The 24623-nt window shown below is 50.2% G+C and overlaps 1 protein-coding gene across 25 annotated transcripts in view, besides 1 other annotated feature; it reads left to right on the forward strand.

Moving 5' to 3' along the window:
- Positions 1-24623, forward strand: part of CAMTA1 (calmodulin binding transcription activator 1) — a 984253-nt gene that overhangs the window by 547747 nt on the left and 411883 nt on the right. The gene's annotated exons all lie outside the window — the stretch shown is intronic.
- Positions 2695-3572: an enhancer, noted in NCBI's record as "H3K4me1 hESC enhancer chr1:7395955-7396832 (GRCh37/hg19 assembly coordinates)". NCBI's record gives its function as "activates a minimal SCP1, AML or CMV promoter by ChIP-STARR-seq in primed H9 embryonic stem cells {active_cell/tissue: H9 hESC(primed)}" and the evidence as "EXISTENCE:reporter gene assay evidence [ECO:0000049][PMID:30033119]".

The raw sequence follows: 24623 nt of genomic DNA on the forward strand, positions 1-24623 counted from the left end.
GTTTTTGGACAGGGATAGCAAACATGTCAGAGGATGACTCTCAGGTGATTATGAGCTTCCCTGTCGAGGTTGGGCTCTGCAAGCTTTGGCAATTGACATGAGTTGAACCTAGTTGTCATTCCTGCCGGTGAGGGAGAGACCCGCAGGGGAGTCGGATCTGACACGGGACCCCACGCTGCAGAGTGATGATCGCATAGGCACGCCTTCCTGCAAGGTCACAGGTGGAACAGGTGGAGAGAACACACCGTTCTCTCTGCTGTGAAATTCCCTTTGCACTGGGAGATTTCCCGGCAGAGGTCCTACATTTCGGCAGTGAGAAATGTCAGGGGCTCCTGCCATGCGCAGCCAAGGCATTGGATCTTCATATTGGATCCAGGAAGACAACTTTGTGAAAGGAAAAGGCTGAGGGGCTTAAATGCTGCTGTCGTCCCAGCTTCTAGGGAGGCTGGGGTTACAGCCTCCGCCATGTTGCAGATTCTCCAATAAGCATCCCGGTGATCTGTGTGCCTTGCAGGGGCGTGGAGCCTGGTGTATTTACATACCACGGACTAGGTTTAAAAATCAACTTTAGATTTGCTTTGCCGTTTGCAGTCTCTTGAATAAAGCATTTTTGTAGCCTCCTCAAAATCCTCTCTCTGTGTTTACATTTTAATGGGCATTCCAGTGAAATGGAGGAATTTTTTTTTATTACTTACATTTATCAAGGAAAGAGGTGGGGTTGGAAACTGCCAAGCAGCAGGGCCGCCTCTCTTTAGACTCCTGGGGCTCTCTGCTCTCCAGCCTGATGTGGGCAAATTGTGTCACGTAGCCAGGCAAGTGGGAAGGAGAGGAAAGGCCATTTTAATCTGGCTTTTAAATATACATCCCTGAGAATTTACAGAATTTTAAAATAGTACTTTAGATCTCAAACATCGCTGAAAGAAATGAACACGTGTAAGAAGAATATTAAATTGCACTGGTCTACGTGGAAAGTAAAGTCTGTCACATGTAATGAGGTATCATTCCAGAATTGTCCTTTTGGAAAAGAAAGGGGGAAAAAAATCACTCTCCCTGCCAGGGCAGAGGAGCCCTTGACTAGTTCTTCATCACAAATACTCTTGGAAGGAGGGTCCTAAGGTGACCTCTCCATTCCTTGGCAACATTTTCGGGACAGTTTTGGTTTCTGTGGCTGCGTAAGGGGAAACCCCTCTTGGATCTTGGGCACAGAAGCCACCTCCTGGAGGCAGTCAGTTCTTTTGGATGCGGAAACGGAATTTCTGCTTACCCTAGCATGTAGCTAATATTAAGATCTTCTTGTGCAAAGGGCTCCCCTATCACAGTTGAACATACAGTGTCATAAAACTGGGCCAAGGCAGCTTCCGGGGCTTTGCATGTGTGGAACTGCCAGTGTTTTCATCTCCCCCGGGGGATGTCTCTCTTGTTCCTCCCCTGACATTCCCAGGAGATCCCTAATTAAAGCTACAGATACGGTTTAAAAATATACTCACCAGATGTTAGTTTAAAATGACCTATAACTGGCAGCAGAGATGGAAGAGGCTGACGGTGTCTGAGGCCTTCCGGTCGCCTTTTCCTAGGCTGTCATTCGGTATGCAAATGAAGCCCAGCAGAATCTGAGAGCCAGCTCTGCCAAGCCATAAAACCAACTGTTTTGAAAGCAATGCATCAGTAATTCTTATCACCTGGCATCTGGAGTGCGGGAAAGCTCCCTTCCTAACTAGAACATGTCATAGCATGACTTAGGAGGAAGCTCTCATTTTGCACTCCGCGGACAATTTAAACTGATGAATCTGCTTGCTGAAGCTCATACAGATCCCTTTAGGACAAACCATTTTTTAAACCAAATCCAGGCTCTGAGACACCCCTGCTATGACTTTACTGGACCTATATACTACGGAGAAGAGGGCTTGTTTGGCAGCACAGCTTTTGTGTGTGTGTGTGTGGGGGGGGGGGGGGGGGGTGGGGGTGGGGGGTGTCAGACCCCGAGGCTACCCTTCTGGGGTTTTGTTTAGATTCTTCTGTGCAAGTTCCCACCAAGTTTTCAGTGAGTTAGACTTTCAGGGTAATCCCGGTTTGCCTTGCAAAGCTGAGGAAATGAGGAATGTCATGGGTATCAATATCTTTCCTGAGAACTGAAATTTACCAGTAGCACATTCCTATCGGGCATTTATCAAAACAAACATATAGGTCAAATGACCGTTTACTCAGCAGCCACCTGTCAGTGCCTTGGGACGTCAGCAGTCCCGGGGATGCCCGTCAAAGCAGCTGAGTGATCTCGGCCCTGAACATTGCCAACTTCCCGCCTGATGCCCTGGAGCTGAGGCTCCAGCTTGAGGCTTCCCAGTGCTTTGGATAAAAAGATGGGTCTGCACCTGAGAGCCATATACATCTCGCTCTGGGGAGAAAACCCAGGCAGGGCTTTCACACAGAGGAAGAGTGAGGCCAGGATTTATACTCAGAGAGGATGGGCAAATAGCATTCACGCGTGTGTCCTCCAGGGTGGAATCTGCCAGGCTGACTTACAGTGCAGGAATTTTGCCAGTCAGTGGAGGTAGATGTGTTTATAGATAACGTTAAAAAAAAAAAAAAAGGCAAAAACCAAGACCTCTGCAACCTTGGTATTTGAAACACAGAACACGGGTTTGTGTACTAAGTAAAATGTGGTTAAATAAGATTAATCTATTGATGGTGGGGAAGAGAGCCTGTAAGGCAGATTGGGTGTCTCAGAGGCATAATTATTTATCAAACTAATTAAAATGTAACCACCGGCTCATCGACTCTGGAAACCGGCTTTCCTGCCCAAGAAGCAGCCCTCTCCTGAGCACCTGTGATTTTATTTTTCATTCATTATCCCACTGAAACACAAAACAAAGACCCAAATTGGCCACCTGGAGTGGCCGCTCTCACCCTCTGCCTGGCCATGGCCTGCCTGGACTGGGTGTTGGGGAGGGATGCATGGGGACAGTGTTGTTCACAGTGTGGGTGAGTGAGTGAGCCCACCTGGTCCCCCATGAAGCCCTGAGATGCCAGGAGCTCTACTGGCTGTGGCCTGGGGCTGTGTGATGGAGAGCACGTGTGTTCATCAGCGCCCAGAGGCCTGGGCTATTCAGTTGGGCCATCTCTGCAGCCCAGAGCTGCCTGGTAGGGCTTTGCCATGGATTCCTGGCTTGGAGGAGTCATGATTAGCATGAACTTGCAAACCCAGACCAGGCGAATTGACTTGGGGGTGATGAGATGCACCAGCTGGTGGAAGCAGCTTCTCTCTGGCCATCCTTCCAGAACGGAGCAAGTTTCCTGGCCCATAGTCCCTGCTTCCATGACCACCCTGGCCTCTCAGGAGCATGTACGTGTGATTGCAGGGGTGGGCAGGGAGAGGACACTTAGCAGAGGGAAGAGGCACAGGGCTTGTTACATAAATGACTTGGGACTGTTGAGCAGGTGCAGAGAGGTCTGTTGAGAAATGAAAGGCAGAGAGCCTAGCCCAGCAAGGCCAGGGCGAGGAACCTGGCAGGAGGCCTTGACTCCTTGATCGCATTTCTCTGTTTCACGTCCCGAGGTGGGCAGGGGGCTGGGAACCTCCCCTGCAGAGCTAACCACTGGGCCTCCTTCACAGAGCTCTCTCGGGGCCAGCAACAGGGAGAAGGCCATGGCCCTTCTATCTTCCTCACTCCTGTCCTTTGGAGTCCCCACATGTGTGCCAAGGAACTCAAGGCCAGCGGCCCCCTCCCTATCTTCCTCTGGATCATAGCTCCTAGGTCCCATCCAGGAAGAAAGAAAATGAGGTGGCAGGTCCAGAAGCCTTTTTGCTTTTCTGTTGATTTATGTCCCTGAGGCCTCTGAGCAATAACTAATACATGACTTGAATACGATCCCTAGTGATCTGACCTCTCTGGGGGAGTTGCTTAGGCAGATTACGGCAGATGATTGAGCAGAATGTTGGTGAGTCCGTAGTGGCCTGGTGGTTCTAGGAGGCCTGGCTTAGAGCCAGTCCATCAATACCTATCACCTTGTGAGGGGGACGGGGACTAAGGACCTGTGTCCACCCGACTGCCACATCGTCCTCTTCCTTTGAGGGGAGGTAAGCACCCCTTGCGAGGTTAGGAGAGGGCGTGTCTGATAGGCATTGCAGTGGTTCATTTCATCTGTCAATTTGACCCGGCCGTGGTACCCAGATGTCGGTCAAACACCAGTCCCGATGTCTCTGTGAAGGTATTTTGTAAATGTGATGAACATTTAAATCAGCAGACTTTGAGGGAAGTGGTTGACCCTCCGTAATGTGCATGGTGGGCCTCATCCAATCACAGTGTGGGCCGTGGGCTCATCCAATCACAGTGTGGGCCGTGGGCTGCATCCAATCACAGTGTGGGCAGTGGGCCTCATCCAATCACAGTGTGGGCAGTGGGCCTCATCCAATCACAATGTGGGCGGTGGGCCTCATCCAATCACAATGTGGGCGGTGGGCCTCATCCAATCACAATGTGGGCGGTGGGCCTCATCCAGTCACAATGTGGGTGATGGGCCTCATCCAATCAGGGAAAGGCCTTGAGAGCAGACCGAGGTTTCCCTAAGAAAAAGGAGTTCTGCCTCCAGGCTGCAACCTAGAAGCGCTGCCTGAGTTTCCAGCCTGTTGCCTAGTGGAATTTGGACTCAAGATTACAGCATCAACTCTTACCCGAATTTCCAGCCCGCTTGTCCGCCCAACAAATTTGGGATTTGTCAGTCCCCACAATAGATCGTGTGAGCCAATTCCTTAGAAATAAACATGTATATATATATGTATTATATGTGTATATATACTATATATAGCTACATAACATATATACATATATACATATATGTACATATATATTATATACACACAATAGGACTACATATATATTGTCCTATTGGTTCTTTTTTGCTGGGGAACCCTGACTCTTACAGAGATGGAGGTGCCACTTCCTCCTCCAGATTTTGGGGCTTCTGCTCTTGACACCTCAGTCTCCCTCCTGCTTTGGTACTCACCCAGCACCCAGTCCCGTTAGGTCCCAGAAAGAAGGATGCAGAAGAAGAGAGTGCACCCCCTTCCACAGAAACAAGTGTACACCAATGACAATGCCACCTATAGAGTCATGCCAGGTAACAAGGGATGAAGGCTACTCATGTAGGGCCGGGACACGGCTGGCACAAAGGGATTGGCCTAGTTCTGGAGGGTTTGGAGCCGTCTGCCTTTGAGTACAGACTGTGCACCAGGAGCATCGCTGAGCTTTTCCATAAAGCCCACCATGTACGCAGGAATGGACTCCTTGTGTCAATGCATCATCAATTCATGTATTCAAATATTGATTGAGCACCTGCCATGTCCCTGATGCTCTTCCAAGTGTTGGAGATAGTGAACAAGACAAAGCCCTGCCCTCATGGAGTGCACATGGGAAAGGCATTCAGTCAAGAACTGAAACATCAGCGATTTTCAAGTTGGTGTGTGTGCCACGAGAAAGAAAAAAAGTAGGATAAGGTGATGAAACTACAGTGGGGAAGGTGCCTGTGCAGCGTAGATGGACTTAACGCCACCAAAACATGCACTTAACGGTGGTTAAAATGGTGAATTTTATGTGATGTCTATTGGACTAGTCCGTTCTCACACTGCTATAAAGAAATACCTGAAACTGGGTAATCTATAACGAAAAGAGGTTTAATTGGCTCACAGTTCCGCAGGCTGTACAGGAAGCATGGCTGGAGAGGCCTCAGGAAACTTTTAATTATGGTGGAAGAGGAAGCAGGTATGTCTTACATGCCTGGAGCAGGAGGATGAGAGAGAACAGGGAGGCGCTACACACTTTTAAACAACTGGATGTGGTGAGAACTCACTCCTATGACGAGACCAGCGAGGGGGAACTCCGCCCCCTCCCACCAGGCCCCTCTTCCAACATTGGGGATTACAATTTGACATGAGATTTGTTCAGGGACACAGACCCAAACCATACTGTGTATTTCAAAAAGTAAGTTTACAATGTTCTGAAATGTATCATGGTGGTGATTGTGCAACTCCGTGAATATACTAAAGCCACTCCATTGTATGCTCCAAATGGAAGAATTGTACGGAATGTGAACTCCATCTCAATAAAGCTGTTTAAAGAACAAAAGACAAAGCTAGGTGAGTGTGGAGTATTTCAGATACAGCAGTCAGGGAAGCCCTCTCCAAGGAGGGACATTTGGTCAGAATTATTGTCATCATTTTTCAGATGAGTGTCAGAGAGGATGAGTGACTTGCCCAGAGTGGCAGGTCTAAGACGCACACCCAGGCATGTCTCCTTCTAAGCCCTTCCTGCCCTGCTTGGCCATTCTGAGTTTTTTTCCTCTCTTCTCAAAGCACGTTCATGCTGATCTCACTCTGTTTTGTTTGTTTGTTTGTTGGTTGTTTTTTTGTTTTTGTTTTTGTTTTTGAGAAAGAGTTCTTGCTGTGTCACCCAGGCTGGAGTGCAGTGGCGCAATCTCAGCTCACCTCCACCTCCCAGGTTCAAGCAATTCTCCTGCCTCAGCCTCCCAAGTAGCTGGGATTACAGGTGTGCACCACCATGCCCGGCTAATTTTTGTAATTTTAGTAGAGACAGGGTTTTGTTATGTTGGCCAGGCTGGTCTCAAACTCCTGACCTCAAGTGATTCACCCACCTCAGCCTCTCTGAGTGCTGGGATTACAGGCATAAACCACTGCACCCAGCTGATCATCTCACTCTCTTCTAGGCATCTTGATTTTCTATCTTGTCTCCAGCAGACATAGTGGGAAACAGACATTCAGAACCTGACCCAGGGTCCCATAGCCAATGATAGGGCCCCAGACAACACTCTATCCCAGGAATCAGCAAATTTTTTTCTGTAAAGAACCAGCCAGTAAATATCTTGGGCTTTGCCAGCCATATGGTCTGTGTTGCATCAACTCAACTTTGCTGTTATGGAACAAAAGCAGCCATAGACGATATGTAAACAAATGGATGTGGCTGTGTGCCCATAAAACTTTATTTGCAAATACAGGCAGCAGGCTGAATTTGGCCCACAGTTATAGTGTGCCAATTGTTGTTGTAGCTTGTCATTTTCTCTTCTCTGGAAAAATGCCCTGGAGAAGGTAAGACTGGAGGGAGGCTTAATTCTTCCTGCCCCCACTAGCCTACCCCCGACTTATGCTTGTGTCCAGGAAAAGGCATGTGAAGTGCTTCATGCAGCCAGATTCCCCAGAGGAGCAATACGAAGCAGGACCCCTGTCAGATGCAGACATGTCTCTATGGAGAGACCAAGACTAGGGGAGGGCCCAGGAAGTAGCCCTTTCCCAAATGGTTGCTTTCTCCTATGAGCAGCTAATGTGCTGCCTGCCTGCCTGCCTGCCTCCCTCCCTCCCTTCCTTCCTTCCATCCTTCCATCCTTCCTGGCTTCCATCCGTCACCTATCCATTTATGCATTAATTTATCTCTCTGAAGATAGATGAATCCATCTATTCATGCATTCTTTGCTTCTTCCATCCATCTAGCCATGTATCCTTCCACCTGTGCATCCATCCATCCATCCATCCATCCATCCATCCATCCATCCATCCATCCATCCATACACTGTCTCATTCAAAAACATGACTTCAGAGCCTACTCTGCACCAAACAATGAATTAGACCACAAGAATTCAGTGGAGGACAGGACACAGTTTCTGTTCTCAAGGAGTTCACACCATGAACAAACCCATACGTAGTCCACAAACCAAAGGAGTGAACGCCATGATAAAAATATGGTATTCATAAGCCTAGGCTGTATATTTATGGAAGGAAGTAGCCTGGGCTGGCCAGGGTGCTTTTCATGATACAAGACCTTCCTTCTTAGGCCATGCCAAGACACAGCCTTGATGGCACTCCATCACACTGCCTCAAGACACCAGCTCTCTGACCACAAAGGGTCTCCGAGGTGGAACATTTCCTAAAGGGCTGTGGGCAGCCTGCACCCTGAGCTCTGGCTCATGTTTGCTGGGCGTGGAGCTGCCTTTCAGCTGTGCAAGGCCTCCAGCTTCCCCATGGCTGGAATAGGAAAGAGCTCCTTCCCAGGCATGTGGGGACCATGCTGAGGAGTGTCTGGTGGTTGGCAGGTGGGGGCTGCCATGAGGAAGAGAAGTGGAGCCACTGTTCTCTTCCCACCCACAGAAGCAGGTGACCAGCCTGTGCAGCCTGAGAAGAATGAGACACCCGCCAGGAGGTGGGGCACAGCTGTCATCCTGTCCAGTGAAACGAAAATATTTCCATTCTGTTTGATATCTAAGAGCAAACAAAGTAGGTGCGAGATTGTCTCTGGTAAGGAAGAATATGCCAAGCTCTCTTGTTGGGGCTCTGAATTGAGCTGTCACCCAGCCTGGAGCTGGCTCCCCTGCAAATGACGACGAAAGCAGCCCCAGCTGGCATTTGCCCAGCCATGGGGTGGTGGTGACCCCAGCCAGCCCGGGCTTCCCATGGCTGCCACCAGCCTAATGCCTGCATGATTGTTCTGCCGTAAACATCATCTGTGTGTGCGTTATCTTCAGACAGTCTGGGCTCAGCATCTTGGCCAGGGTCCAGTGCTTTCTCTCTCCACAGAACTCAAAATCGTGACTGTCTTAGTCTCCATAGGATAAATGAGAATTAAGTTTCAGAAGGGGCTCCAGGAGCTGGCCTCCTGGGGAGGAGGGCAGGCCAGGCTGCTCTTCTTCCTCGCCTCCTCCCCCACCAGGGCCCATCATGCTGGAGGGCAGATAACAGTGAGGAGAATCCTTCTGAGTGTAAGCACACCATGGAGTGGGGCCTGCTCTGGCCTAGGAGCTGTTTGTGTGCAATACCTCAGGGAGTCTTCATACTGACCGTAGAAGGTAGGTGCCATTATCACTGTATTTTACAAATGCAGAAACTGAGGCACACAGCAGTTTCCTCATTGAAAATAAATGGGCATGGTCTCTTTTAAGTCTGCCTCTTGAGGGCAATATCTGGGAGCGGTCCCAGGTCTCAGATGGCCTAGGGTGGAGGGCAGGGTGCTGCACCCACATGACCTCAGAAGAGCTCCAGGCTCCACGACCTGTCCAGAGGCAGCAAGGTGGATGCAGAGCCCGGGGGTCCCCTGGGCTTCCTGGATTGAGAGGCAGTCCCCCTCCACCCTTTTAGCACTGACTCAGCTGGCGATTCCTCTCATGGTTCCAGGATTGCCCTGATGAGCCATCATGGGGGCACAGCAGCAGGATTCCAGTCCTTTCCCTGCTAAATGGTTTCCTGTGTGGGAATTGAGGCTCAGGTTGTGCCTGGAGGAGTGAGACTGGGACTGAAGCAGGGCTAGAGGACCCAGGGGTCTGGGATGGGAAGAAACCACCCCCATCATCATGGCAGGGTGCCCATGGTGGCCCTTGAAGAGTGGTCCCCACATCTTAAAATCCTACAACACTTAGAATCCTAGAACATAGGGCTGGAGCCATGTTAGAGAGCAAGTAATTTGACCCTAATATTGGAAATAAGGGGAGAATAGGGAAGAAGGAAATAGAACAGAAGACCTTGTCTAAGAGACCCAGGAGGTCATTGGAGAGCTGTGACCAGAAACTCAGGTAGCTGAAGATGGAGCCATCTTGAGGCCGAGGGCCTGAGCACTCCCAGGTCTGGCTGGCCAGTGGGCAAACTATTCACCTCCCCAACTGTTTTCTGCAACTTCATGCCTGGCCTTCAAGAGGCATTTTCCACTTTCCCTGGGACCATCAATCAGACACGGAACTCCTTGCTCCTATTAAGGCCTGAGACAAGTGCCCTCTGCAATCAGTGGGCACCAGTCCTACAGAGCATCACACAGCGCCAGCCCTCTCTCCTTTTCTCTGACCCTACGCATGGCTAAAATATTGTCCTGTGGATAGGAAATGAAAAGGGTACAACCTTACTTCTTCAAAGATCGCCCAGTCTAGCCCAGAGGTATAATAAAACCCCAAACTTTCCTTTCAGGACTCATCTTTCATGAGTAATATCTTTCCGTGTTAAGTGGTAGGCACACAATGGTGAAATAAAACACAGGGCTCAGCGACTCCGATGGCTTGGGGTGTGGGAGGGGAAGGTTGCCTTTATGGTGTGAGTTTCCTGTGCCTCAGCTCTCCTGGATTGTGGGGCTCATGGCACACGGGTGATTGATGACAACATCACTCTCCATCATTCAATTCGGGAGATCCCTACCAGGGGCATCTTGGCCACCTCCGAGGCCATATTGGGCTGGAACCTCCATTATCTGTGTAGTCAGGTGTTTGCATTTAAAACAAAGGAGGAATTAGAGTAATTAGATGAATTATAATCTTCAGTTCATGACACACTATTGTTGTTGTTTACTTTAGAGTGTTTGTTTAAACATTCTAACAAGGAATGCCCATGACCTGCTGGTCAATCCAAGAACTAGGACATTACCAATTAACTGTGTCTGCCACGGGCTCTTCTCTGTCCCTCCCCGACCTTCCCACCTCCCAAAGGTCATCACAACCCTGAATTTGTGCTTACATCTCCCTCCTATTATTTCAGTCTTATGACTTATAAGTGCATCCTTAAATACTACCTTGTTTACTTTTTGCCTGTTTTTGAACTGTATAAAAAATGTTTTGTCCCTTCTGTGGTCTTCTGGGGTTGGCTTTTGAAATTTAACATTGTGTCTCTAAATCTCATTTATGTGGTTGATGTGTAGCTAGAGTTCATCAATTTTCGCAGCTGTGTAATATTCCCCCGTGGGTCTCTACCACCATTCACCGAACTCTTCTGCCTTTGGGCATTCAGTGGTTTCTAGTTTTGTGTTAGAAACAGCATTGCCCAGAATAGTCATCTTTGTGTCTGTCTCCTAGGAGACAGTGCTTGCTGGGTGGTCCAGTTATCTACTGCTGTGAAACAAACCATCCCACACAACCACATCATGGGTGTTGCTGTCGGGCTCAGAGGGGTAACTCTGATTTGTTCCACCACACTCGGGACCTGAGATGAGATGATTGAGGGCTGGACCCTTGGAGCCGGCCTGAAGGGGCCTGGGCCTCTTTCTCCCTGTGGAGGCTAAGACCTTTGCATGTGGTCTTTTCACCTGGTCTTCCCTGGCATAGCAGCTCAGGGCTCCCAGAGTGAGCTTTCCAGACACCCAGTGGAAGTTACAGGCTTCTTAGAGCCAACCCAGAAGCTCAGAATGTCAGTCCTACCACATTCTATTGATGAAGCAAGTGACCAAGGCTGGCTGGATTAGAAGGCAGGGGAACTGGATTTCACCTCTCAGTAAGAGGCATAGCAAATGTAGTTGTCTTTACTGGATTCCATGAGACTCATGAATATTCATTTTTACAAGTTAACTCAAGTTGTTTTCCAAAGTGATGGCCAATTTATGGACCCATCAGCCATGCATAAGTGATTTCCAGGGTCTCCACCCTCTGCGCATGAGGTCAGACTTCTTAATTGTTGCCAGTTGAGTGAGGATGAAAGGGTGTCTGACCCTGGCCCTCACCAGCATTTCCCTGTTCACGGGTGAGCAGGGCCCCTCTTCCTGCAATTATTGGCCATGTGTTTCTCCTCTTTCCTGCTCAAGTCTTTTTTTTTTTTTCTTTGAGGCAGAGTCTCGCTCTGTTGCCCAGGCTGGAGTGCAGTGGCGTGATCTTGGCTCACTGCAAGCTCTGCCTCCTGGGTTCATCCCATTCTCCTACTCAGCCTCCCCAGTAGCTGGGACCACAGGCGCCTGCCACCATGCCCGCCTAATTTTTTTTGTATTTTTTTTAGTAGAGACGGGGTTTCACCGTGTTAGCCAGGATGGTCTCCATCTCCTGACCTCGTGATCCTCCTGCCTCGGCCTCCCAAAGTGCTGGGATTACAGGTGTGAGCCACCGCGCCCAGCCTCCTGCTCAAGTCTTTTGTCCATTTTTCTGTCAAGTTGTCTCTTTCTTCTTGTAAGAATTCTTTATATTTTCTTGATAAGAATCCTTCATCCCTTTTATATGTTGCAAATATCTTGTATTTTTCAGTTTGTAGCTTTTCAGCTTCTTTAAGATGTCTTGTTGAATAGTTCTTACTTTTAATACAGTCAGTGTTCTCAATATTTCACAGTTAGCACTTCTTAGTCTTGTTTCAGAAATCCTTCCCTATCTCAAAGTCAGGAGGATATTCAGCATTATTTTCCTAAAAGCTTTAAAGTTTTGATGTTGACATTTGAAATCTGGATCTATCTGGAGTTGATTTCATCTGTTGTTGTTAACCCCTTTGGGGATAACCAGTGCTGCCAACTCCTTTCCCATGATCGCCTGCTGTCTCTGACACATCAGCCATGGTGGGCCCATCCTGATAGCCTTTTTGTTTGTACTTTGAAGACTTTCAGAGTGACTTAGGTGAGATGATGTTGTATCCATAGGAAGCTTGTTTGTAAACCCCGGGGCTCACTTTCCACTTCTCTGATTCTTTGGGGTGCCAGTCCTGGGAATAACAGGCTGCTAGAGCCCAAACTCATGCCAGAGTTTGAGTGCTTACACCCCCATGCCAGGTGGCTGGGAAGATTATGCCCCAGTTAACGACATCAGGGCTGGGCATGCAGTCAGGGCTTCATGCCTGAGAGTCAGCAGGCTGACTTTTTAAGAAATGGCCATAGTCACTTGGGCTAAGCTGCTGCCACTGACCTACCTGCCTTTCTGCTCCTAAATACATGAGAAGAATCCCACCGCATCTGTGGAAATACAGCAGGAGGGAGAGCTCCAGGACTCTGAGAAATGTCAGGACTGCTGAATCTGAGGAGGTGTTTTGGGGTACAGGGAAACCCTCTGTAGGAGCCTTTCTTTGGTATTAGCCACAGTAAATCCCTAAATACCAGAGAAGTCCAGGGACCAGCCCAGCTGGCAGTTGCATTTGGGAATTAAGCTAAAGAAAGGCTGGTTGCATCAGTTGGGCTCACTTTTAGTGAAGTCAATGTGTTTATATGGTTTGAAAGCTCCTGGGGTGAGTTAGTCCATCTTACCAAGGCCTACAGCATATCTTCCTGGAAGCTATGAACTGAGAAGAGAAAAGGACACTGGAATCATGGATTCTGGTCCAGAATCCATGCTGCCTTGCTGTGTGACCTTGGACAGGTTTCTCTCCCTCTCTGATCCTCAGGTTACTTCTCTCTAGAATGGAAGGGGTAATCAGTGCCTAGGCAGTTCCTCAGATTCTCCTCTTTCTGATTGTCTCTGGATCTGTGACGAAGGCATTCGATGACTCTGAGCTGCCTCCTGCTGAGGACGGGGGAACTACAGCAAGAAAAGGCCCAGAATTAGCCTAAAATGTAAACAGCTGAGAGCTTTCTTCTTAACTGGGTGAAATTTTAAAGATCATAATACACCTCTACACTGGCCTGCAAGCTCAGCCCATAAGACTTCCCCCCTTAGGGATGGTGTCCATCATTGAGTCCTGTTTTGAAAATCAAAAGTATTTTTAAAATGGAATTTGCGGGGAAGAGGGTAGAAGTTAAGTTTGCGCCTCCAGAAGCAGGGTAGGCTTAATCTAAGGGGACTGTCATTCTCCCAGCTCCATGGGGCCTGGCAGGAGGCGGCCCTCTCAGTGCTCTCGGCCCTGAAGGAGGCTGTTTGGTTCTGCCCCTCCTCCTGGGTCTGAGGGCAGGTGGCACCCCCAGCAGAGACCAGCCCCATTTACCCCAGGAGGTTGGGCTCCTTCCCCCTAGTTTCTTGGGTGCCCTCAGGGGCCAGGCCTTGCAGCTGAGAGCAGAGAGTCCCAGCTACACTCAACTGTCACAGACTGAAGGGCAAAGTGCATCTGGCAGCCAGCACGGATGTGTTGTCCTCTGACTCTGTAGGGTGACCTGTCCCATATGCCTCAGCCGTTTGGGGACAGCCTCTGAAAGAGCCAAATGTTCCTCTCCAAACTCCGTAGCAATAGATGGTGAAGAGATTCTGAGCTATTTATGGTCAGGAGAGATCCGGCTGCCTCATCCCGGTGGCAGCGTCTGAGTAACATTCCTCGGTGGGGAGAGCGGCGGATGGTTCTCAGAAAGAATCGAGGCTTTGGGCACACATCACTGGCCTGTCCCCACTTCGTCTTTCCACAATGAGGCCCGGACTGTTCCATCGGGAAGGGGCTTCTGGACTCATCCCTCATTTTCTCAAAGGAGAGCCAAGCTCCGGAGAGGGAGTGGCCCAAGGTCACAGAGTGGTCCGGTGCCCAGGCAGCTCCAGAGCCCAGCCAGTCGGGCCTCTGCCGTCACACCAGCCCCAGGGTCACGGGCTTTGGCTTTGATTTGTAAAGATGTTCTCTTTCACACCAGCCCCCAGGTCACAGCCTTTGGTTTTGATTTTTGAAGACGTTCTCCTCGCTTGCAGGGAGCTAAGCCTTCCTTGGGTCACTTGTATTGGTTTCCATAGCAAATTACCACAAACTGGGTGGCTTAAAAGCACTGAAATGTTTTCTTTTCAGTTCTAGAGGCCAGAAGTCTGAAATGAAGATGTGGGCAGGTGGGTTCCTTCTGGAAGCTCTAAGGCAGAATCTGTCCCGACCCCTCTTCAGCTCCTGGTGGCTGCCAGCAATCCAGGACCCCCCCGGCTTGCAGCTGCGTCCCTGCATCCTCCCCAGCCTCTGCCTCCATCCTCACTTGGCAGTGTTCTTCCCCGTGGCTCTGTGTGCCCTTTTCCGCCTCTCCTAAGGAAGCTGCCATTGGAGTCAGGCACGACCCTAATGCACTATATCATCTCCATCCTTAATTCCACCCACAAAGACTGTATTTCCAAATCAGGTCCCATTCATAGGCTCTGAGGTTAGGATGTGGACGTATGTTTTGGGGTGCCATAATTTATTCAGCTTAGGAGGACAGTGGTTTGATACACCGTGTAGAGGACTGGACCTCACAGCAAGGCCGTGGGACAGAGGCAGCTCTGGCGAGGGACTGACCAGGGGCTGTGCTCACTCGCAGGGCCTCTGGTGTCTCTGCCTCCACTCTGCATGCCTACCTCTCTGTCTTCTCACTGCCCCCCAGCTTTGTGTTCCCTCTGGTGTCCCCTTTCTCTTCGTCTTGTGGCCTCTGGTTCTCACGCCTTGCCTCAATTCCTCCTGGCCCAGCTTCAGCGTTCTGGCCTTGGTCTCGACGACTTCTTGGCTGCAGTTTCTGCTGCTGACTGCCTCATTCCCATGCCCATGCTGTTTCCCAGTTGGGTTCCTGAGCAAGGAGGTCGTGCCAGTCATGCCTGTCTTCTCACATGGGCACAGATGACACCCCGCCAGGCCAACCTTGGATTGATGGTCCTGGGGGTCGTGGGGCCCACTCGTGGTCCAGACAGCAGGATGGGGCTGTGGTACGAAGCATAACCACCTCCACCTGGCCCTTGGAAGGTGCAGGAACATGGCAGAAACAGGGTAAAGGTTCGGCCGCCTACAAAGGCGACTGCGTGGTCCCTGCAGGAGAACTTCCAGGGCGAGGATCCAACTAAGTGGAATTGTCAAATTGTCAGTTAACTGAAGTATTTCCAGTTTGAGAGGAGAGAGCAAGAGATAATAGGAACCTGGAGAAAAAGCAGCCACAGGGGGTGTTCGGCTTCAATCCAGGTCCGTTCACCCCTTACGTTCAAAACAGCAAATTTCAGGAATGCCACAGTCCGTTAAGCATCAAAGAGAGATGGGGCCACCCACGTTCACTGTATTACGACCCTCATTAGACAGAAAAGGACGTCTGTGATTGAGGAAAGATTTTCCAACGACATCCCTCAGTTGCCCATCAAAGTTGCCTACTTCTCATTTCCTCACCTTCTGGGTCTTCTTCGGGCTCTCCTGGAGTCCTGTGTGTTATTACTCTGCTGTTTTCAACTCAGCCACAGTGAATCATTTCTTCTTACCAAGTTGTGTAATCCCGTCATTTGTCTGTAAGAGATTCCATCCCAGGGCATATTGTGTCCCCGTGCTATGGGCTTAAGACGGCAAATCCGAGCTGTGATATAAATGTAAAAGTCATTCCCGTTCTCCTCGAGCGCATGTTAACGACAGCACAGAATAGTGATAATTAGATGAAGCATCATTTCACACCATCACCAGCGTGCTTTACATTTATTTATCGCCATTCTTTTCTCCAGCATCAGCAAAACAGAGACTTGTACGATATCCCAGAGCATCCAATGGGGCACCGTCCTGCCACTGTTAATTACCACCTTATGAGCGCACAGAGCCCAGCACTCACCTCTAGCCGCTTTCTGGGGGCCTAAAGGGGAAACTCACTCCCTGCACATCTCTGTCCCTCCATATCCCAGACCTGTCTGTCATTGACATGTGTCCTCTGTCCAGCTGCCTAGGGCTGATCCCATGCCATGTGTGTACTCTGGCTGCCATGACAAGGCACCGCACACGGGGCGACGTACGCAGCAGCCTTGATTTTCTTGCAGTCCTGGAGAAGCGAAGTCTGAGATCGAGGTGCGGGCAGGGCAGGTTCCTCCTGAGGCCTCTGTCCTTGGTTCTCTCAGGGTCTTCCCTCTGCCTGTGTCTGTGTCCTCATCTCCTCTTATATAAGGTGACCGGTCAGACTGGATCAGGGCCTGCCCTCCTGACCTCACTTTAACTTTATCATCTGCGAAGACTCGCTTTCCAAAAAGGTCACATTCATAGGTTCTGGGGCTTAGAACTTTGACACCTTTTCACAGGGACACAATTCACTCCATAACAGTCCTGAAGCAAGATGAATCTGAACCTCATGTTCAAAGTAAGCCCTGGTGAGCCCTGGGCCTTGGGGGCCTCCTGGCTTCACTCCTGTATAAGCCCCGGTGAGAACAGGAGGGAACTTCTGGCAGAAGGGAAGAGGGATGGGGTCTCAGCTTGGGCTCACACTGGGCTCTCTGTGTGAGTATCTTTGTCTAAAGGTGCCCTGTGTGGGCAACTTTACAAGTATCTCACCTATGGATCCTCAACTGGGCTGGGGACCTTGGCAAGACCCTGCCCCAGCCTCCCGAGAGGGGTGCTCACTCCTGTGGGCTCCCCAGGCACCTGCTCTTGTTCTCCCCCACTATCCCAGCACCCATCCCCTGCCTCCCACCTGTGTCCCCCACACTGAGCACCCCTCATTGGCAGGAACAGTGGATGCCGGATTCTCTCTGTGTCCTAGAGCCCCAGGAGGGTCCCCAGGAGCAGGAGCCACAGAGAGATGTTGTTTTGCAGAGAGTCCTCCTGCCCCTATACCCGCCAGGTCCCCTGAGACCCTCTATGTCCCTGAACCCCTGGGTGCACAGTCACATAGTTGCAGGTTTGGATGAGACCTGGTGTTACCTTTTATTTTGTTAATCTTACCCTCTCTTATTCCAGAAAGAACTCAAGGTGGAAAAGTGTAGCCTCTCCGTTTCTGCGATATCACTGCTAGAAGCCAGCCGTGTGGCCTTTGAAAAGCTCCTGTGAGGAGCCACTTGTTTAGCCTGTTCCTTTACCGGGAAGTTCCAACTGTTAGAAAATTTCATTTTTTTTTCTTTTCACTGAGTCACAATCTGTCTGCCAGGACTTCTAACTTCATATTGAACTGTTAGTACAGAATGGTCAGGTATTTTTAATAAAAGGAAGTCATATGGTGTGTGTGTGTGTGTATGTGTGTGTATGAGCATCTGGGTACCTGTGTATATGCACAACACATATGCACCATGCTTTGTACAAAAGAGAGCACTTCTTGGATTTGGGTCTCTGTCCCTCCACATTCTGCCAGGATCCTTTTAACTCCCGTAGGGGATGAGAAGGGAGTTGCTGCTGTTTAAAGATCAAATCTGCTTTGTAGCCTGTGTTCCTTACACGTGGCCCAAGCTTCCAGGGCTTCCCGGTAGGGCACTTCTCTGCCCCAGCAGCTGCCCATGGGTCCTCTAGGCCCATCACGGGTGGGGCGCATTCCTGCTTTGGCACTCTGAGGTCCCTCCTGAGCATTTTGGTGGTGGCAGACCTCAGCGTCGTAGGAAACCTAGGAATTGTGGGGACTAGGCAGCGTGACCCCCAGGACTTGACAGAGACAGGGCCATCTGCCAAAGTGAGCATTTTCTCAGGGAGAGCATCCATGGCCTCACGCTTTTCCCAGGCACGATCCTGATGTCTGAGGAATGCCTTTCATCCGGGGACTGCGCAGAGCTAGTGAATTGTTCTGCCTTCTTAGTGACGCCACGCACTCAGGAGCTGGAAATAGCCAGGTAGGAACTTCTAGCAAAATTATGGCCTGAATGCCGCCAGGCTCCTGAGCCGGCCCACATGCAGATCGGGCAGGTGAGGCTGCTCTGCTAGAGAGGGCCAAGGTACCTCCCACGACTCAGTGGTCACTGGCCAAGGAGGGAGCCAGTCCCACCATCCAGGAACTGTTCTTTCAGCAGAAGCAGCAGGTCGGGGGACCTCTGCCCAGCGTGGAGGTCAGTGACTGAGCACACACAGGTCTTCGGCCAAGGCTGCGCTCTGAGTCCAGCTTCCATGGAGGCAGGCCATTCGGGGTGATGGACTTGGACATGGAGATTGGAGAAACACATTCCATTTTCTGTCGAGGGCATCGTCCCCTCTCACCTACCTGTCTGGCCGGGGTCGGATCAGTCAGAGGGCCTTCAAGGAGCCGTGGTCATTTGGAAAGTCTAAAAGGCTCTGCACTCGGAGCTGTGCATAAATCCCAGCGTTGCAGGATAAGATATGATTACAGTATATTATGTGGGCTTGACATTTATGGCAAGTATAAACAGAGCGTTATTACTACCAAATCATGAGCCTCCGACCAAGAGGAAGGCAGCGCTGAGAGCACGCAAGTGAGAAGGAGTTTTTATACAAAAGAGAACAAAGTGATATGCTGCCACTTTTAATATGCCTGCCATGAAACAGAAAAGCAGAGAGCAGAAAATTGAAACCATCGGGAAAGCGCCAGGTCCAGGATGGCCCAGACAAAAGTCACTGCCGTTGAGATAAGTGGCACTGGCTCCCCCGCCATGGCTGGGCCAGGATTCCAGGAGAGAGGGAAGGAGGAGGAGAAGGAAGCAGGGAGAAGAAGAGGGAGGAGAGAAGGAGGAAGTGGGCGGGGGGAAGAAGGAAAAGTGAGGAGGGGAGAGAGAAACGGCTCCTGGGTGGTAACTGCATCAGCATTGTTTTTCCCTCCAGTTATTGGGAACCTGGGCTTCCTGGGTCCTTTCCAAAGGGGCGTCACTTTTGTCATCTGGGAGGTGACAAAAATGCATCTGAGTGCAGGTGTGCCTTGGCACCCCCTAGAAAGGGTAATTGGGAAGATTCTGCAGGTTGGATTTCACCATGTGTTTATGTCCTGGTGTCTGCACAAAGGCCCGACATCTTGTCGGGTTATTAACGGAGACACAGTGGCTGAGCTGATGACTCTGTCCCAGCTCCAGGCTGTGTGTGGCGTGTGTCTCTGCAGGTGTCCTCACTGATTTCCTCTCCAGGGCAGACTCCTTGGCCATCCACCCATGGGCCCCTTTCCAGGAAAGGGATTTTTAAAGTAAATGGTCATGAGCCACATGTCTTCTGGGCCTCCTGGCCTCAGCCCAGCAGGCTCTGCTCCTGCATAAGCCTCTGTGAGTGCAGAGGGCCTCTGGTTGCTGGGAAGTGGGGTGGGCTCAGGTTGGGGTTTAATTTGGGGGTGGAGACCTTTCCAAGTATCTCACCTAGAGGTTACACCTCCTCCCTAGCTGGACCCATGACTCTTGGCAAGGCCCGGATCTTGAGGGAAGAGCCAGGGAGCTGGGATGAAAGCTCTTCCCACTCCGTGTGAGCCAGCCTCATCGAGGAACAGAGGGACAGGCCTACGGTGCCTCCTCCTTGGGATTAATGCAGTTAGGATGAGATGTCCACGAAGTCCACAGAGCATCTGTAGGTCCCAGGCTCTGCATGAGACACTCAGAGGCCATCGCCCTTGACCGCCTGGTGAAAGGAATGGAGACAGAGAACCCAGCAGTTGGGAACCTCGGGGGTCAGCCTAGGTCATGTGTGGGCTTGGCCACATCCAATCACCTACCCTCTCGAAGGCACAGTTTCCTCTTCTGTAACACAGAGATCATAATTGCACAATAAAATTACATGAGGGCAGGGTTGCACCTGCTCTTCCCTGTTGGCAGCATAGTGCCTGGCCCATCTCAGCCACCAAATGCTGTCTCTATACAGAGAACCCCTCATTTATATCTTCAACTCTAACCTCTCACCTGAACCCCAGACTCCTGCATCTAGCCACCTATGCAGTGACTCCTCTCCAGTAGCTAACAGGCCTCCCAAACTTAATACAACCAAATCTGAACTCTTTTTTTTTTTTCTTTCTCTCTTTTTTTTTTTGAGACGGAGTTTTACTCTTGTTGCCCAGGCTGGAGTGCAATGGCATGATCGTGGCTCACTGCAACCTCCGCCTCCCAGGATCAAGCAATCTCCTGCCTTAGCCTCCCGAGTAGCTGGGATTACAGGCACACACCACCACACCCAGCTAATTTTGTATTTTTAGTAGAGATGGGGTTTCACCATGTTGGTCAGGCTGGTCTTGAACTCCTGACCTCAGGTGATCCACCTGCCCCAGCCTGCTAAAGTGCTGGGATTACAGGTGTGAGCCACCGTGCTGGGCCTGAACTCTTTTTTAAATTTTATTTTATTTTTATTTTTCAACATTTATTTTAGGTTCAGGGGTACATGTGCAGGTTTGTTACATGGGTAAATTGTGTGTCACTGGGGTTTGGGGTACAAATGATTTTGTCACCCAGGTAGTGAGCATAGTACCTAATAGGTACTTTTTCGATCCTCACCTTCTGCCCACCCTCCACCTACAAGTGGGCCCCACTGTCTGTTGTTCTCCTCTTTGTGACCGTGTGTACTCAGTGTCTGGCCCCCATTTATAAGCGAGAACATGCAGTATTGGTTTTCTGTTCAGGCATTAATTTGCTTAGGATTATGGCCTCCAGCTGCATCCACGTTGCTGCAAAGACCATGATTTCATTCCTCTTTTAAGGCTGCGTAGTATTCCACGGTGCATATGTACCACATTTTCTTTTTCTCTTTTTTTTTTTTTTTTGAGACAGAGTCTTGTTCTGTCGCCCAGGCTGGAGTGCAGTGGCACGATCTTGGCTCACTGCAAGCTCCACCTCCTGGGTTCACGCCATTCTCCTGCCTCAGCCTCCCAAATAGCTGGGACTACAGGCGCCTGCCACCGCGCCCGGCTAATTTTTTTGTGTTTTTAGTAGAGATGGGGTTTCACCGTGTTAGCCAGGATGGTCTTGATCTCCCGACCTCGTGATCCGCCCGCCTCGGCCTCCCAAAGTGCTGGGATTACAGGCTTGAGCCACCGCGCCCGACCTACCACATTTTCTTTATCCAATCCAGTGTTCATGGGCACCTAGGTTGATTCTGTACCTTTGCTATTTTGCATAATGCTGCAATGAACATGTGTCTTTGCGGTAGAATAATTTATTTACCTTTGAGTATATACTCAGTAATGGGACTGCTGAGTTGAATGGTAGTTCTGTTTTAAGTTCTTGAGAAGTCTCCAAACTGCTTTCCACAGTGGCTGCACTAATTTACATTCCCACCTGCAATGTACAAGCATTCCCTTTTCTCTGCAACCTCACCAGCATCTGTTATGTTTTGACTTTTTAATAATCGTCCTTCTGACAGGTGTGTGATGGTGTCTCATTGTGGTTTTGATGTGCGTTTTTCTGATGATGAGTGATGGTGAGCATTTTTTCATATGCTTGTTGGCTATGTGTATGTCTTCTGAACTCTTTCTAAATCTCCATCGGATGTATGCCTTCCAAATTGTCTTCATCTGGGCTGGGTTCAGTGGCTCACACCTGTAATTCCAGCACTTAGGAAGGCTGAGGGGGGTGGATTGATTGCTTGAGCTCAGAAGTTTGAGACCAGCCTGGCCAACATGGTGAAAACCTGTCTCTACTAAAAATACAAAAATTATCCAGGCATGGTGGTGGGTGCCTGTAATCCCAGCCACTTGGGATGCTAAGGCAGGAGAATCGCTTGAATCTGGGAGGTGGAGTTTGCAGTGAGCCGAGATCACACCACTGCACTCCAGCCTGGGTGACAGAGCAAAACTCCGTCTCAAAAAAAAAAAAAAAAAAGAAAGAAAAAATTAGCCAGGCATTGTGGTGTGCACCTGTAGTCCCAGCTACTCGGGAGGCTGAGGTGGGAAGATGGCTTGGCCCGGAGGGGGTCAAGGCTGCAGTGAGTTGTAATGGTGCCACTGCACTCCAGCCTGGGCAACAGAGCAAGACCCTGTCTCAAAACAAAACAAAATAAAACAAACAGAAAAACTCAAATCTTCTTCTGTCTACCCATCCATTTTCTCTAAAAACCAAGGAGTCAGCCTGAATTTCTGTCTTTCCCTCTCTTCCTTATTTAATCACTCAGCCAACCCTTACACCCCTACCCCCAAAATATAGCTCAAGTCCATCTGCTTCTTCCTACCTTGACTGCAAAAGCCCTCTGCCAAGTCTTCCGCAATCCATTCTCCACTCAGCGGCCAGGGCCATCTTTTAAATACATGTATCAGGTCTTAATACCTCCTGTCTTCAGATGCTCCAGTGGCTTCTATTGTGGCTGGAGTAAAATCTAAACCCCTGCCATGGCCTTCCACCCCTCCCCTCTCAGGTCCACACTCTAGCCTCATCTCCCACCAGCCTCCCTCTTGCTCCTCCCTTGGCTCCGGCTCACAGGCCACCTTGCTGGTTCTTGGCGTTGCACATCTGTTCCCACCCCAGGGCCTTTGCACATGCTTTTCCCTCTGAATACTCTTAATCCAGATTTTCAATAGCTGGATCCACTCATGAAAGGACTAAGCACAAATGTCCCTTCTTTGCTCTCAGGAAGATCTAGGTATGGCATCACTGTGCATGACTTGGGAACAGAAAGGTTCACCAACCATCCAGAAGGCTGGAGAGAGCTCAGGCAGGGACTGTTGAAATAATGGAATGTCAAGGCCACTGTGGGCAGGATGATTGGACGGGTTTGGGAGGGAGGCATGGAAGCCCGAGGTGTCCCTGGCTTCAGCAGGCTTGCTGCTTTGGCTGGGGTGTTCTTACACACCTAGAGGAGCCCCAGGCTCTGCTGTTCCCTGTCCTGGATGAACATGCCTATGAAGAGGTGTGTGCCCTCTGCAGGCAGTTCCTGGGGCCTCTGTGGAGGCCTTGGGCAGGGCTCAAGTGCCCTTGGCCGACAGGCTGGGATGCTGAATTGCACCACACCTGTCACACGCTGCAGGATCTTCCTGCCTGGCGCTGGGCTTTTGCTGATGCTGTTTTAGCACCATCCTGAAATTGAAGCCACACCAGGTGATCTTGAGTGAGACCTGCTTTTTGAAAGATGTGTCCCCAGAGCCTCAGAGCCTCTTCCTCCTGGAGATGCAGGTGGAGCCTACAGATGGTTCAGGGAAATTTGGAAGTGTGCATGAGTGACTGCCACCGCCTCCTCCTCCAGTCTCTGAATCCCAGTGAATGGAGATCCCTGAACCTATGGACCATCAGCAGGCTGTCTGTCCCCAGGGTCCCTCTAGCATGTCAGGGCTTGGCTCTGCAGGTACCCAGCCTGCCCCATTCCTGGTGGCTGCTTTTATAGGGAAACAGTAGAATGTTGGTTATGAACAGGGCCTTTGGAATCATTTAGACACAAGTTTAAATCCTGCCTCTTCCATCTACTGACCAACCGAGGACAAATTACTTAACTTCTCTGAGCCTTGGTTCCCTTCTCTGAGATTAGGTGGGCATAGTACCTGCTTCCTGGGGTTGAGAGGATGTGACAGGATATCTATAAAGCCTTGGGCCCGTGGAAGCTGTGGTTCATGTCAGCTGCTGCTGTGATTGTCCACACTCAGCTCCCTTCCCCCCTTCCCTCCCATCATGGGCTTTTCAATCCATTCCTAGTTGAAGCAGAGGCTCCCCGGAGTCCATTCATTCTGGCATCTCCAGCTCCAGGTGAAGGATATAGCTATGCACAGACCCTACTGGTGCTCTGGTGGATTTCTCGGCTCAGGGAATTTCAGGATGAAACCAAGGGCCCTGCGATGTCATCCAGTCTCCTGGAGCATCCTACAGGGAGGAAAGAAGGCATCGAGGGATGCCCCGCCCTCCCATTTTTTCATTCATGTCTTCCTCCCTGAACACTGCATGGAGCCGCTATAGCCAAGAGCCCAGGACCCAACCTCCCTGCCCAAGCCTTGCCCTTTTTGGCTCAGGAGGGGCCATCTGGGCTCCTGGTGAGGAGGGGGGTGAGCTGATTTAGGGGGCAGCGAGGCAGAGGAACTGAGTTGCCCCCTTGCCGGGCTCTCAAGTCCTGGCACTGCCCCACCTGGCTGCAGAACCCTGGGCAACTCACTTACCTCTCTGAGCTTCCATTTCTTTGTAAATAGGGGTCACGATTTCCATCTCACAGGAATGGTCATTCTTTCATTTAATACATGTGAGAGGGGTAGGGATGAGGCTTGGAGGAAGGGTTTGAGCTGGCCCCTCTAAGCTATCCAAAAAATTTCACTCTTTATCTAAAGGGCCCTGGAAAGCCATAGAAGAGTTTCTGGTTTGCTTGCTTTTGTTTTTATTATTATTTTTATACAGATGTCCTCGTCCATGTGTGTTTTTCGTCCTTAGGGTCTTATGACTCAGTGCTTCTGGACCTTTCCATGGGGCCTGCTCCTTTTGATTCAGGGAAATCCCTGGAAAGGACTCCATGC

This window comes from Homo sapiens, chromosome 1 (genome assembly GCF_000001405.40).
Source record: "Homo sapiens chromosome 1, GRCh38.p14 Primary Assembly".
In the NCBI taxonomy this organism is placed as follows: Eukaryota; Metazoa; Chordata; class Mammalia; order Primates; family Hominidae; genus Homo; species Homo sapiens.